The 12414-nt window shown below is 47.1% G+C and overlaps 2 protein-coding genes across 29 annotated transcripts in view, besides 2 other annotated features; one reads left to right on the top strand and one right to left on the bottom strand.

The window, feature by feature from the left end:
- UBE3B (ubiquitin protein ligase E3B) overlaps nt 1–2834 on the bottom strand; it is a 70196-nt gene extending 67362 nt beyond the window's left edge. For 11 of the 22 annotated variants that reach the window (XM_047429851.1, XM_047429853.1, XM_047429845.1 and 8 more), the window contains exon 1: nt 2704–2834. The gene's annotated coding sequence lies outside the window, so the exon portion shown is untranslated. Of the gene's footprint in view, nt 1–2358 lie in introns of all 22 variants that reach the window. The other 11 variants (XM_011538961.2, XM_047429844.1, XM_006719681.4 and 8 more) reach the window with 2 other exon arrangements.
- Nucleotides 2922–3011: an enhancer, noted in NCBI's record as "active region_6986". NCBI's record gives its function as "activates an Ori minimal core promoter by ATAC-STARR-seq in GM12878 lymphoblastoid cells {active_cell/tissue: GM12878}" and the evidence as "EXISTENCE:reporter gene assay evidence [ECO:0000049][PMID:35858748]".
- KCTD10 (potassium channel tetramerization domain containing 10) overlaps nt 3168–12414 on the top strand; it is a 28646-nt gene continuing 19399 nt past the window's right edge. For 6 of the 7 annotated variants that reach the window (NR_133897.2, NM_001317399.2, NM_031954.5 and 3 more), the window contains exons 1-2: nt 3168–3208; nt 10740–10953. Coding sequence is in view for 5 of the 7 variants with exons in the window: in NM_001317399.2 (NP_001304328.1) it covers nt 3206–3208; nt 10740–10953 (217 nt within the window). In the remaining 2 variants the exon portion in view is untranslated. The remainder of the gene's footprint in view (nt 3209–10739; nt 10954–12414) is intronic. The other variant, NR_133898.2, reaches the window with a different exon arrangement.
- Nucleotides 3520–4255: an enhancer, noted in NCBI's record as "H3K27ac hESC enhancer chr12:109914018-109914753 (GRCh37/hg19 assembly coordinates)". NCBI's record gives its function as "activates a minimal SCP1, AML or CMV promoter by ChIP-STARR-seq in primed H9 embryonic stem cells {active_cell/tissue: H9 hESC(primed)}" and the evidence as "EXISTENCE:reporter gene assay evidence [ECO:0000049][PMID:30033119]".

Genomic DNA, 12414 nt, shown 5'->3' with positions numbered 1-12414 from the left:
TATTGCCCAGGTTGGTGGTCTCAAACTCCTGGGCTCAAGAGATCCTCCTGCCTTGGCCTCCCAAAATGTTAGGATTACAGGTATGAGCCACCACACTGGGCCCTGAGTCTTTCCATCTTCATCTATTAATTGGCTTAGAGGTTGATAATGAGGACTAAATGTGATGATGCTTATCAGGTACCTATGGAGGTACTTGAGTGCACATTGTAGAGTGTATAGTCAGGAAGTCTAACTGGTGTATTATTTTTATAGACACAAGGATTAAAAAAAAAAAAAAACTCTTCAGCAGAGGCTCCCACCTGGACAGTTACTAAGGTTCTCTGGGTAGGAAATAATGCTGGCAGTCTGACATTTCTCACCCATTAACTTTTTTCCTATCTTAAATGCACTAAGATTCACCAGTCCTGTCCCTTGGGCTATGAACTCCTGGCCCTGTTGTTTAGAGTGAGTAACAGATTCAAGCTCCTCAGGACTGCAAAAGAGCAGGGCCCAAGCCACAAGCACAATGATATGCTCCCTCCATGACATGCAGACAGTGCCTCAATGGCAGAGGGTCCATGGAATTAGAAGGGGAAGAGGGAGCCTCTTCCCAAAAGAAAAACAAAGTTGCATGCAAACTGTACCTAAGCACTGTAAGACGATCTTAAAACTTTCACTTCTCCCAGGGGCCCTCCCAGAATAAGAAATTACTCTTATCCCCTTCCTTGAGATTATTATCCCTTCAGCAATGTTATTGGTTGATTTCTGTTCATATCATATAATAGCCTACACTTTACAGTTTTTCTCATCCTTTCCTATATACCTTCTCCACCTGCACAGTGTATACTATAGTTCGTCAATTAATAAAACACACAATCAAGTGTTTATTAAGTACTTATTTTGCTAAATGCCATGGAGAACCAAAGAAAAGGCTGTGCGCAGCAGAAAAAGTCTTGCATCAGAGAAAGCGGGCCTTGGTTCTTTTTAGTACTCCTTCTATCCGACATTTGGCCAAGTTACTTATCCTCTCTAGGCCTCAGTTTCCTTATGTGTAAATCGAGGGTAATAATAGTGTCTATGTCCTAGGGTTGCTGAAAGGATTAAATGCAACATTTATCCTTCTTGTACCTCAATTTAGTCATCACAACATTGTGATTAGGATTAAATGGGAAAATATTAATATAGGATATCTAAAAGCATGTAGCATGTAAGTGAGCTTTATTGTATTGTCCTTAAGAAGCTTGCAATCTAGTTAGGGAAACAAGAATCATATAGGTAGAAAGATTAGAAAATAAGAGGTTGGTGATAACCAAGATCATTTAAAAAAGTAAATGAGTGCCCATTATGTGTCAAGTCCTTTATAAGTGATCTCATCTAATAAGGAGAGGAGTCCTATGAGAAGATCATTCATGATCTCATCTACTCCAGTCTAGACCATTAGTATGTGGCAGAGTCAAGGCTGTAATAACTAAGAGGCAGGATTCAGACTCTTGTCTTACCTCTATATTTCCAAAGCTGAAGCATCATAAATACCAACTGCTGACTAAGCCAAGAGGATTGTCCCTGTGCAGTAGGAAAAGCTGGGCCACCAGGTTTAATGACCACCACCACTTGTTCTGGGCAGACGGTGTATCAGACACTGCACAGATTATTTAACCAACTTGTCTTTTCAACAGCTCTATCAGTTCTCGATAATCTTTGTTTTTTTGAGACGGAGTCTCACTTTGTTGCCCAGGCTGGAGTGCAGCGGCGCGAACTCTGCTCACTGCAACCTCCGCCTCCCAGGTTCAAGTGATTCTCCTGCTTCAGCCTCCCAAGTCGCTGGGATTAAAGGCGCCCGCCACCACGCCCGGCTAATTTTTGTATTTTTAGTAGAGATGCGGTTTCACCATGTTGGCCACGCTGGTCTTGAACTTCTGACCTCAGGTGATCCGCCCGCCTCGGCCTCCCAAAGTGCTAGGATTACAGGCGTGAGCCACCGTGGCCAGCCTCAATAATCTAATTTTTATTTAAAGAATAGGAAACACGACTTAAAGAGACTATTCATATTAACAGCTACTATTTATTGAAAGCTACAGCCTATCTAAGGTGGATGCTTTTGAATCTGAATCCATGTATATCCAAAACAGTTATTTATCACTAAGTAAAACAAACAAGATCCAGGGCTCCCCCGTTCACAGAATGGCCAAGCAAAGAGAAGTTGAGAGTGCAAGATTGCCTGTGGGGGCTAAGCTGGAGTTAAATTACGATCAAGTTTTTCTTTATTCAGAACTAGGTGTCAGGCACGGTACTAAAACGTATTCACACCCTCTGTGAAACCTGCTAATTACTCCATTTACACAGAAGGAAACTGAGGCTCAGAGAGGTGAGGGAACTCACCCAAGGTCACACAGCGAGCGAACAGTATTCGAACTCCAGTTTAGGTGAGTCCTGGGGCCCAGAGTCTTTCCTCGGCATCAACAACCACAGGAACAAATCACCCAGCATTAGTCCGTTTATAAAGGCCTACCGTCCCCAAAGTGAAAAGAGGTGGAAAGGGCCGCGGAAAGAGCCCCTGGAGCACACACGCCAGATCCCAGCACTTGTTCCTCCGACCTGGCCAGGCAGGGACTGTGCCCTAGAGCCAACTCCCTCAAAGTCCCCAGCCCCACCACTCGGAGGACTGACGACCCAGTTCTCCCGCAGGCCGGACCGCAGGCCCTACCGGCCTACCCGCAGGCCGACCTTTATTCGCCGGAGGTCCCCGCACTTGGGGTCGGGGCCGCAGCTGCCACTGTCTCAGCCCAAAACACCCGAGTTCTGCCAGACCCGGGGCAGCAGCCGACGCACTACCGCCATCTTGCCCCGCGGTGTTCGCTTTCAGAACCCCGCCAGGAAGCAAGCATCCAGTTCCGGAAAATGACAGTTCCGCAGAGCTTCTTCGCCCGGGAAGGAAAACTTCCCCACACCTTGCCTCCCCTCTGGCAGCTGAAATAGCGGAGGTGGGATAAATGCCCTCCCCAGCCGAGAAAAGCTGGAACCCACTCCGGCCGGGGAGGCTGGAAAGAAAACTGGCCCCTAGGCGCACAACGGACGGCTTAAGACGTTGCCCTCTGCGGGGCGGAAGTGGGGTGCGGACAGCGGAAGTTATCGCTCCGGCCCCGCCTCCGCCCCCGGCTGGCGTGAGCTGGGTGTTTCCTGCCTCTCTCAGTCCGGGTTTGGAGACTCCTGCGTCCTCCGACTTTTCATGGTAGGGAGGGCGGTGCCCATGGACTAGGGGTTGAGGGCGGCCGAGGGAGCTGGGCAGCAGCAGAGTATAAGAAGGGACCGAGAGGAGGGGGTGTGATGAGGGGCAGTCACGATAGTGGAGAGGCATTTGGGGGATTGGTTAGGGGAAAGGCCCGGGGTGGGGGAAGGGCTTTGGGTGGAGAATTAGGGGCGGGGGTGGTGGTAGGGAGGCTCCCTGGCGGTTAGGAATCCGGGAAGCACATTTGGGCTTGCGGAGTAGATACGTGTGTGCGTGAGGAAGGGGTGTCTCCAAGTGAGTCCTGAGTGCTGGTTGGAGATGGGAGTTGGTGATTGCGAGGAGAACAAAGAGATATCAATTGAAAACGGACATTTGGGGGTGGAAAATGAGGATTTGGAGGATTATGAAGGAGAATGAATGGGCAGGTTATGAGAAGGTGAGGTAGGATTCCTTGGGGCGGAGCGTTTGGCGTTTTGGAGGTTGTGGCTGGAGTCGCTGAGTTTCCAGGAAGTGGGGAAGGGGCTCCCAGGTGCGTCTGAACACACGGCCCAGTGAGGGAAAGAAATCGAGAGAGCCCAGCAGGCTGATGTGCGTTCAGTGCTTGGAATCCTGGGGAGAGATGCCAGGGGCCTGAGGTTAGGATACCTGCGCCACGGAGTTCAGTGCCTCAGCTGGCGCCTGGGTACCTATCTGTAACTTCCATTGAGGCCAGAGGTGACCACGCCTAAGGAGCGGAGGATGTTTCAAGATCTGTCTCTCAGCTGTGGGGTTTGTCTGCTTGGGATCCTCAAGGGTCTGTTCCCTGAGTAGCTCATTGTCCCTGGGTAGAGATGACCAAAGATTGGCCCAGATCTTCTTTCTACTTGCTTGCTTGTTTGTCACGTCCCTGGAAAGTGCAGTCTTAAGGGAAAATCAGTCCCAGTGACGCTGCTGAAGAAAAGTCAGTTATCCTGTAGCTGACGTTGACTAGTCCGCTCCATTTTGTGCAAAATAAGGACCAGCGGATGGGAAGAAGGCAGCATAAACCAGTGGTTCTCAAACTCTGGTCCCACCAGCAGCAACACCTGGTAACTTATTCAAAATGGCTGAAATTTCAAGCCCTGTCAGAGACTACTGAATCAGACATTCTTGGGGTGGAGCCCATCTATCGGTTTTAACAAGCCCTGCAAGGGATTAGACTAATGATTTCTTGATTTGGACTGTGTAATGAAAGGGGCAAAGGAGTTGGGAGTCAGAGGGCTCTTATAGGTGTGATTCCTAGTTTTCTCCCCAAAAAAGTGGGGTTGATGATAAACATCTTTCTCACTAGAACATTGAGAGAAATAGACCAAGAGTTTGTGTATTAAACACAGGGAGAGAATGTCATTTGATGGAAGTTGCAATTGGCGGTAGCTGTCTTATAAGCAAATTTTGGATGTAAAATGCTGCAATTATGTGACTTAGTTTAGTTGAAATGTAACAGCAGACTTTTCTGAGTTGTAGAAATGCCCTCAGTTTGGGAAGGTTTTATACAAGCCTCAATACAGTGTTTCTTAAACTTCTTTGCTGTAGGAATCCCCTGAGGTGATGCTTTGCCTCACATCCCTGGCAACTCTTAGATAAAGCTGGTTAAATACCTTAGCTAGGTGGCAGTAAGCCCTGGTCCCACATCCGAATCCCCCAAAGAGCTTTTTAAACACTAGTGACTGATCAGCCACCCCTCCGCATCTCTGAGATACTGATTAATTGATCTGGGGTGTAGCCCAGGCAAGCACAGGTGTGTGTGAGTTTGTTTTTGTTTTTTGGAGACAGGGTCTTGCTCTGTCGCCCAGGCTGGAGAGTGCACTGGTATTATCTTGGCTCACTAAAGCCTCACCTTCCCTGCCTCAAGCAGTCCTCCCACCGCAGTCTCCCGAGTAGCTGGGACTACAGGTGTGTGCCACCATGACCGGTTAATTTTTTTTTTTAATTTTTTTGTGGAGATTAGGTCTTATGTTGCTCAGGCTGGTCTCGAATTCCTGGGCTCAAGCAATCCTCCCGCCTCAGCCTCCCAAAGTGCTGGGATAATGGGTGTGAGCCACTGTGCCTGGCCTGGCATCATGTTTTTTAAGCACACGCAGGTGATTCTAGTAGCCAGGGTTGGGAACCACTGATCCCAATGTTTGAGACGCCCAAAGGAAACTACACAAAGGACTAGGTGCCAAATGCTTTAACATTCATTCTCTGAGGGTTTTGAAGATTATGGCTTTAACACTCCATTTTACAAGTTAGAAAACTGAGACTTGGGTTAAATTGCTTGAATTTCACGAAGGAAATGGTGGAACTGGATTGCAATCCAGGTTTGCCGAGACTATCCCGTTTTCCTTAACACACACACAGGCACACAAGACTTCTACAGAGAAGCATATAGAAAACGTGGGGTCAGGGATTTGGTGCGTTTTTTCCTACTGTACTTGCCTGAGCCTCCTTTTCAGTCGATGATTTTCCCCCTTCAGCTGATTTTTGTATTTTCATGCATGCATACAGTTGCTTCCTCCCTGTGGCTCTGAAGCTGTGAAGTGGGGGCTGGCTTTGGTTTATGGTGTTTTGGTTTGTTTTTAATGTGTCAGGTCAGGAATTCACTGGGCCAAGACCGTGGAGTTAATGGTAGCTTAAATAAGGGGTACAGTGCTTTTTAGAATAGTGGGCTCTAATCTTGGTGGGCTTTAAAATCTCCTGAGGGAGTTTTAAAAATTCTGTTGCCTAGTCCACATCCCGGACCAATTACATCAGAATTTTCATGGTAGGACCTAGGTGTCAGGAGTTTTGAGCTCCCAGCTGATTTCGATTGTCACCAACTGGAGAGCCACTGTTTAGAATCAGCAACATTATATTCAGGGGAGATGGAGAGAAGAGAGACTGACCATTTAACTGGAATAAACTTCTGATTGAATCAGATCCGTAGCCAGTATCTCAAGTATTCATTGCCTCTCTGTTTCATGTAACCAATTTTGCTGTCTCCTGCTTCACCTCCCCAGCTTCATTGGTAATGAAATCAAACCTTTGAAACAAGTCAAAAAGCAGGATCCTGGCCAGGCACGGTGGTTCATGCCTGTAATCTCAGCACTTTGGGAGGCCGAGGCAGATGGATCACTTGAGGTCGGGAGTTCGAGACCAGCCTGACCAATGTGGAGAAATCCCGTCTGTACTAAAAATACAAAATTAGCCAGTCGCGGTGGCTCACACCTGTAATCCGAGCACTTTGGGATGCCGAGGCAGAAGGATCACCTGAGGTCAGGAGTTTGAGACCAGCCTGACCAACATGGTGAAACCCCATCTCTACTAACAATATAAAATTAGCCAGGTGTGGTGGTGCATGCCTGTAATCCCAGCTACTCGGGAGGGTGAGGCAGGAGAATTGCTTGAACCTGGGAGGCAGACGTTGCGGTGAGCTGAGATCGTGCCGTTGTACTGTAGCCTGGGCAATAAGAGCAAAACTCAGTCTCAAAAAAAAAAAAAAAAGCAGGATTCCAGTAGCAACAGTGGGGAGAGTCCTCCCTAGAGAGGTTTGCTATGGTGGGGGTCTCTGGTCCACTGCCTCGTGTCCTAAGTTCACTGTAACTTGGGCTCAAGGACACGAATGCTGCCAAAACTTTTCCCCCAAGGGCCTTGCCTACTATTAGGTTGACTGACCTTTGGAGAGGGTGAGCTCTGAAAAGGTTTAGAGCTTTTGTTGCCTAATCTGTAGTCTCATTCTAGATCAGGATGGCTCCTGCCTTTATCTCTTAGTCATGCCGTCTGCCATTAGAGCTGGAAACAGTTTCCAAAGAGAAGATAGTTTGAGACTTCGGGAGCATTCTCAAATCATCATAATTTGAGTGTTTGGAGTGTTTACTCAGAGCTAGGGAGCCCTGTGAGGGAGGTGAGGCTTTTGGCCCTGGACACAGCTACTAAGTGGTAGGGCTGGGGCCTTATGCACAGGTCTAACTCCAAACCCTTAGCCACACTTTACCTCGCGACTATTTTCAGGGCTTTTTGTACTTTTTAAAGAAGGGAGGTGAGGCTGGCCTTTCTCAGCTTATGTATCATAGCTCTCAATCTACTAGGTGTGATGGTCTCTGGGCCAGCCACCACTTGCCCATGTCCTTCACTGGCCCCGTCACTGACTCAACTCCAGCTTGAGAGTGACTGACCCTGATGGGGCTGTGGCATCCAAATCCACAAAATGGAAATAACTATAGCTGTCTTCCAGCATTGTTTGAATTTGTAAAAGGCATGTGGTAGAAATGCAGTGGTCAAGGGACACCGAGGGGCTTTCTGGAGGCATGGAAATGTTCCAAGACAGCTTGATTGGAGTGGGGGCTACACAGGTGCAAGTATTGACCAAAACACATCAAACTGTACACTTAAAGTATACTTCATTATGTGCAAATTATCTTTAAAAAGGTATTGGAAAGCCAAAAAAGGTACAGTCATGCGCACATAATGACAGTTTGGTTAGTGACAGACTGCGTATATAACAGTCCCTTAAGATTATAATGGAACTGAAAAATTCCTGTAGCCCAGTGATAGTGTAGCTGTCATTTCAGTGGTAGCACAACATATTACGTGTTCGTGGTGATGCTGGTGTAAACAGAACTACTTTGCTGCCAGTTGTATAAGTCTAGCACACACAATTATGTACAGTACATAATAGTCGATAATAGTAATGAACTTGATAGATATATCACTGGTTAATGTATTTACTATTAATGGTTATTTTAGAATATACTCCTACCTGCCTTTTTTTTTTTAAGTGAAAACTGTAAAACAGCCTCAGGCAGGTGCTTCTGGAGGTATCCCAGAAGAAGGGATTCTTACGGGAGATGACAGTTCCATGCGTGTTACTGTCCCTGAAGACCTTCTAGTGGGACAGGATGTGGAGGACAGTGATACTGATAATCCTGACCCTGTGTAGGCTAGGCTAATGTGTGTGTATTTTGTAGTTTTGGATAAAAAAGTTTAAAAAGTAAAAAAAGAGAAAAAAGCTTATAGAATAAGGATATAAAGAAAGAAAATATTTTTGTACAGCTGTGCAATATGTGTTTTAAGCTATGTTATTACAAAAGGGTCCAAAAGTTAAAAAAAAATTAAAAAGTTTTTAAAGTAAAAAGTTACAGTAAGCAAAGGTTAATTTATTATGGAAAGAAAAAATATTTTAAATAAATGTAGTGTGGCCTCCCTGTGCAGTGTTGATAAAGCTACAGTAGTGTACAGTAATGTCCTAGACCTTCACATTTACTCACCACTCGCTCACCCAGAGCAATTTCCAGGCCTACACACTCCATTCATGGTAAGTGTCCTATACAAGTATGCCATTAGAAAAAAATCCTTCATATCACATATTTACTGTGCTTTGACTTTACATGAAGTATACTTTATGTACTTTTTTGTCTGTTTCATGATAGGCACCTTCCAAAATGCTAGATCGTTTCCCATAACAAGCATTTATTATATAAAATTAGATCTGAAAGGGGTGCTTAAAAAGTATTTGCATTTTGGGGCAAATTTCCTCAACACACACCCTCACCCATGACCGTAAGCCTTTTCTCCCCCCCTTCGAGGTCTTCACAGTTTTTGGAAACTTTTATTTCCATAAGCTACTCCTGTCATCCCATGGACAAAGGATTTTTCTGAGGGAGGTGGCTGGTCATAACTGTTAGTGTGAGGTCTCTGGGGACTGATTTCAGAGGACAGCTAGAAAGGAGGGGTAACTGCTTCTTCTGGACCTCTTTTGTGTTTGGCATCGGGCAGCAAAGACCCCAGGTGAGCTAAGCCTGAGCTTTTGAAAACATATTTTCTTGTGACTTTTCTTGATGAAAAAGGAACTGTTTCTTGAGAAAACATTTCTTTCCAGGAGGCCGTTCTTTCTCTGTTTCACTCTGCAGGGCCCTGACATGGCAGGTGATATCCAGGCCACTGTTGGGTGCCATGGAGTTGGGGAGAGTTGGCCAGAAGAGTTGGATAACCTTGAATTGAATATTGTCCATGACTGTCGCGTTGCTTCTGCTGTTGCAAGCTGCCTCCCTTTACTCCCAGTCCCATTTACAAAAATAACGTTTGTGTTTTACCAGTTATAGTTGTAGTACCCATTCATTATAGAAAATCTGGAAAAGCTAGACAATTCTTTTTCAGTTTCAGGGAATAGTTCAAACAAGTTATGTGCTGTCAGTGCCCTGCAGCCAAAAAGCACGAGGAGCATACCTGTAGTCAAGCAAAGTTGGGTTTATTTCCTTGTTGCATTGGGGTGGGGAAGAACTGTGGGACATCTCAGAGAAGGGCTGTGGGCTTGTGTTGGGTGATTTGAGAGACAGTTCAGAGAAGTGGGGCTTTGCTCTGTGTTGGATGCTGCTGGGAAGCAGGGCTAATTCTGTGATTGGGTCTCAGTGATTCCTGACTTGAAAGCAGGAAGAATGGAAGGAGGCTAAACCTCTCATTGGTAAAGCAGCAGCTATAACTCCTATTAGCCAGGATAGGGGATCTTTGGTCATTTTTGTATTTTGGATAATGTTTATGTTTTTGTCTGTGTCCGGACATGATGACTGAATGGTCCTGTTTTTGTCTTGTCGCAAGGGCACAGAGTGGCCTTGTCTGAGGGTGATGTGCTGTGAAAAACTGTTGATGTTCAATGGGAATGGTAGGGCCAGCCGTGGGGGCTACCCCAGATTCAGCAAAGATTCTGCCCACCCTTGCACATCTCCACCTCTACAGTTTTACCTGTTCATTTCAGACATGTTTGCTCTGAGTACACATGTGCCGGATACCAATCTCACTTTCCAGGCCTGCGTAAATCAGCCACTGTATCCATTTCTTTGAGATGTACAGAGAGTCAGCCATGCTATCAGGGAGATGGTAGTGGGATCTTGCTCTTTTGGGCAGCACTAGTCTAGGAGGTCTAATTTTGCAATAACTTGGTTCCAAAAGTTTCCATGTCTGTTGTTTAGTCCTCAGAAACACCTTCTCCCTACAGGAAGTGATAGGAGTGCCAGCTGGAATCCCATTCAACTTCATAAAGCTTATTTCATCTGTGATGCAGCTGAAAAATGACACTTAGCTAGCTATTGAGTGGTACATGGCAATAAGGAAATGTAAAGAGACCTGGGCAGTGCTTTAGGCTGTTTTAGGGTGCAGCCAGGGTGTTCATGTATACAGGTGCTAGGCAGAAAGGAAGTGCTTATAACACAAGAGTTAGGGGCACCCTTGTGCCTGCAGGGTCGACAGGCAGGGTCAGTGTATGAGGCTTTTTGGGTGGGTTTTGGGACAAACTAGGGGATGCATGGCCCTCTCTAGGGGTCATCCAATACCCCAGCTCTGACCAGTTGTTCCCCTGCTAGCCCAGTTGGCCTCTGATTTTAGGAGAAGCCAGAAGTCCAGATTTTTCTGTGAGCTCTCCTTAGTTGTCCACATTGGAAGCAAACTTTTAAATGCTGTGTATGCGTGGCCCAAGCAAAACACATCTGGAGGCCAGATTGAATCCACAGGCTGAAAGCAGTCAACCAGGCCTGATGTCATGACCCTGTATCCTCTCCACTGGCAGGAAGAGATGTCAGGAGAAAGTGTGGTGAGCTCAGCGGTGCCAGCGGCTGCTACCCGCACCACTTCCTTCAAGGGCACGAGCCCCAGCTCCAAATACGTGAAGCTGAATGTGGGTGGAGCCCTCTACTATACCACCATGCAGACGCTGACCAAGCAGGACACCATGCTGAAGGCCATGTTCAGCGGGCGCATGGAAGTGCTCACCGACAGTGAAGGTAAGCTCACCCACCATGTGCCTGCCTCTGGCCATGCGTTATGTGGTCAAGGAGGGCTTCCCTGAAGAAGTGACATTTAAGTCGAGACCTGAAGATGTGTAGGAGGCAGCTTGTTGGGGACTCCCACCATCTTGACTTGGTCGTTGATTTGCTATGTTACTTTGAGAAAGTCACTTCCTCACCCAGGGCTTAGCTTGCTTATCTCTGCCATGCTTCTGTGACTTCAGAGTGAAACTCAAGCCTGGGGGAGAGAGAGGTATCTTCCCTGGACCCTTGTCCTCCCAAGATGGGGTCTTGACAAAGACTTGCCAACCTGGGTTTCAGTCTCAGCTCCCCATTAGTATCTGGTGATCCTAACCAAGTGGCCGAAGCTTTTGGTCTCATTTTCTTCCTCTGGTGAAATGGGCATGACAATACCCTCCCCCGTGGGGCCATCGGCACATAGTCAGTATTCAGTGCATGTGTGTATATGTGTGTGTGTAGATAGATAGATAGATATACACACACACACACACGTTTTTCTTTTTCTTGTGGAAAGTCATGTTATTAAAAGGCAAAGAATCGGCTGGGCACAGTGGCTCATGCATGTAATCCCAGCACTTTGGGAAGCTGAGGCGGGCGGATCACGAGGTCAGGAGATCGAGACCATCCTGGCTAACAAGGTGAAACCCCATCTCTACTAAAAATACAAAAAATTAGCCGGGCGTGGTGGTGGGTGCCTGTAGTCCCAGCTACTCGGGAGGCTGAGGCAGGAGAATGACGTGAACTCGGGAGGCGGAGCTTGCAGTGAGCTGAGATCGCGCCACTGCACTCCAGCCTGGGCGACAGAGCGAGACTCCGTCTCAAAAAAAAAAAAAAAAAGGCAAAGAATTGTTGAGAGGGGCATTGTCATAACTACTTCCTACTCACCTGGAATGATCAAAGAGCCCCTGACAACAGGGCTCCATCCTTACCTGGCTGGGTTTGCGTGCAGGTCACATGAGGTTTAAAAATAGTACCATCCTTCATTCCTTGGCCTGAGATTGCTTAAGACCAGGCCAGGGCACAGCCTGGCTTGACCTTGACCCCGCCTTCCTGTTTCTGAGACTGGTCTTCTGTGCTGCTGCCCTACCTTTCCAGGGACATTGACTTGGGAGGGTGGGTGAGTTTTCACATAAGCGGGTGGGATTGGGGGACCTAAGCCTGGTGTCCCACAGTTAATTCTCTGATCCTAAGAGGGCTGAGGCTTGGGCTACCCACTGGTGAGGACATTCCTCTCTGTGTCCTGGGGAAGGCCAGGGTGTGGGGCTGGAGGTTCTGCTTCCTGTGAACTCCGGTTTCTGTTCAGGCAGCAGCGAACTGAGGTTGGAGCCCCAAAGCTGCCATCTCACACTTAGCTTTTTATGAGTGGGAGGATCCTCTTTGCTGTGCCACACCCCACATGGCCCGAGAGTATCTGTGGAAATCAAGACAATAGCACCC

Source organism: Homo sapiens, chromosome 12 (assembly GCF_000001405.40).
Source record: "Homo sapiens chromosome 12, GRCh38.p14 Primary Assembly".
Classification (NCBI taxonomy): domain Eukaryota; kingdom Metazoa; phylum Chordata; class Mammalia; order Primates; family Hominidae; genus Homo; species Homo sapiens.
The sequence above is the reverse complement of the archived record's forward strand: the minus strand, read 5'-3'. Positions and strand labels throughout refer to the sequence as shown.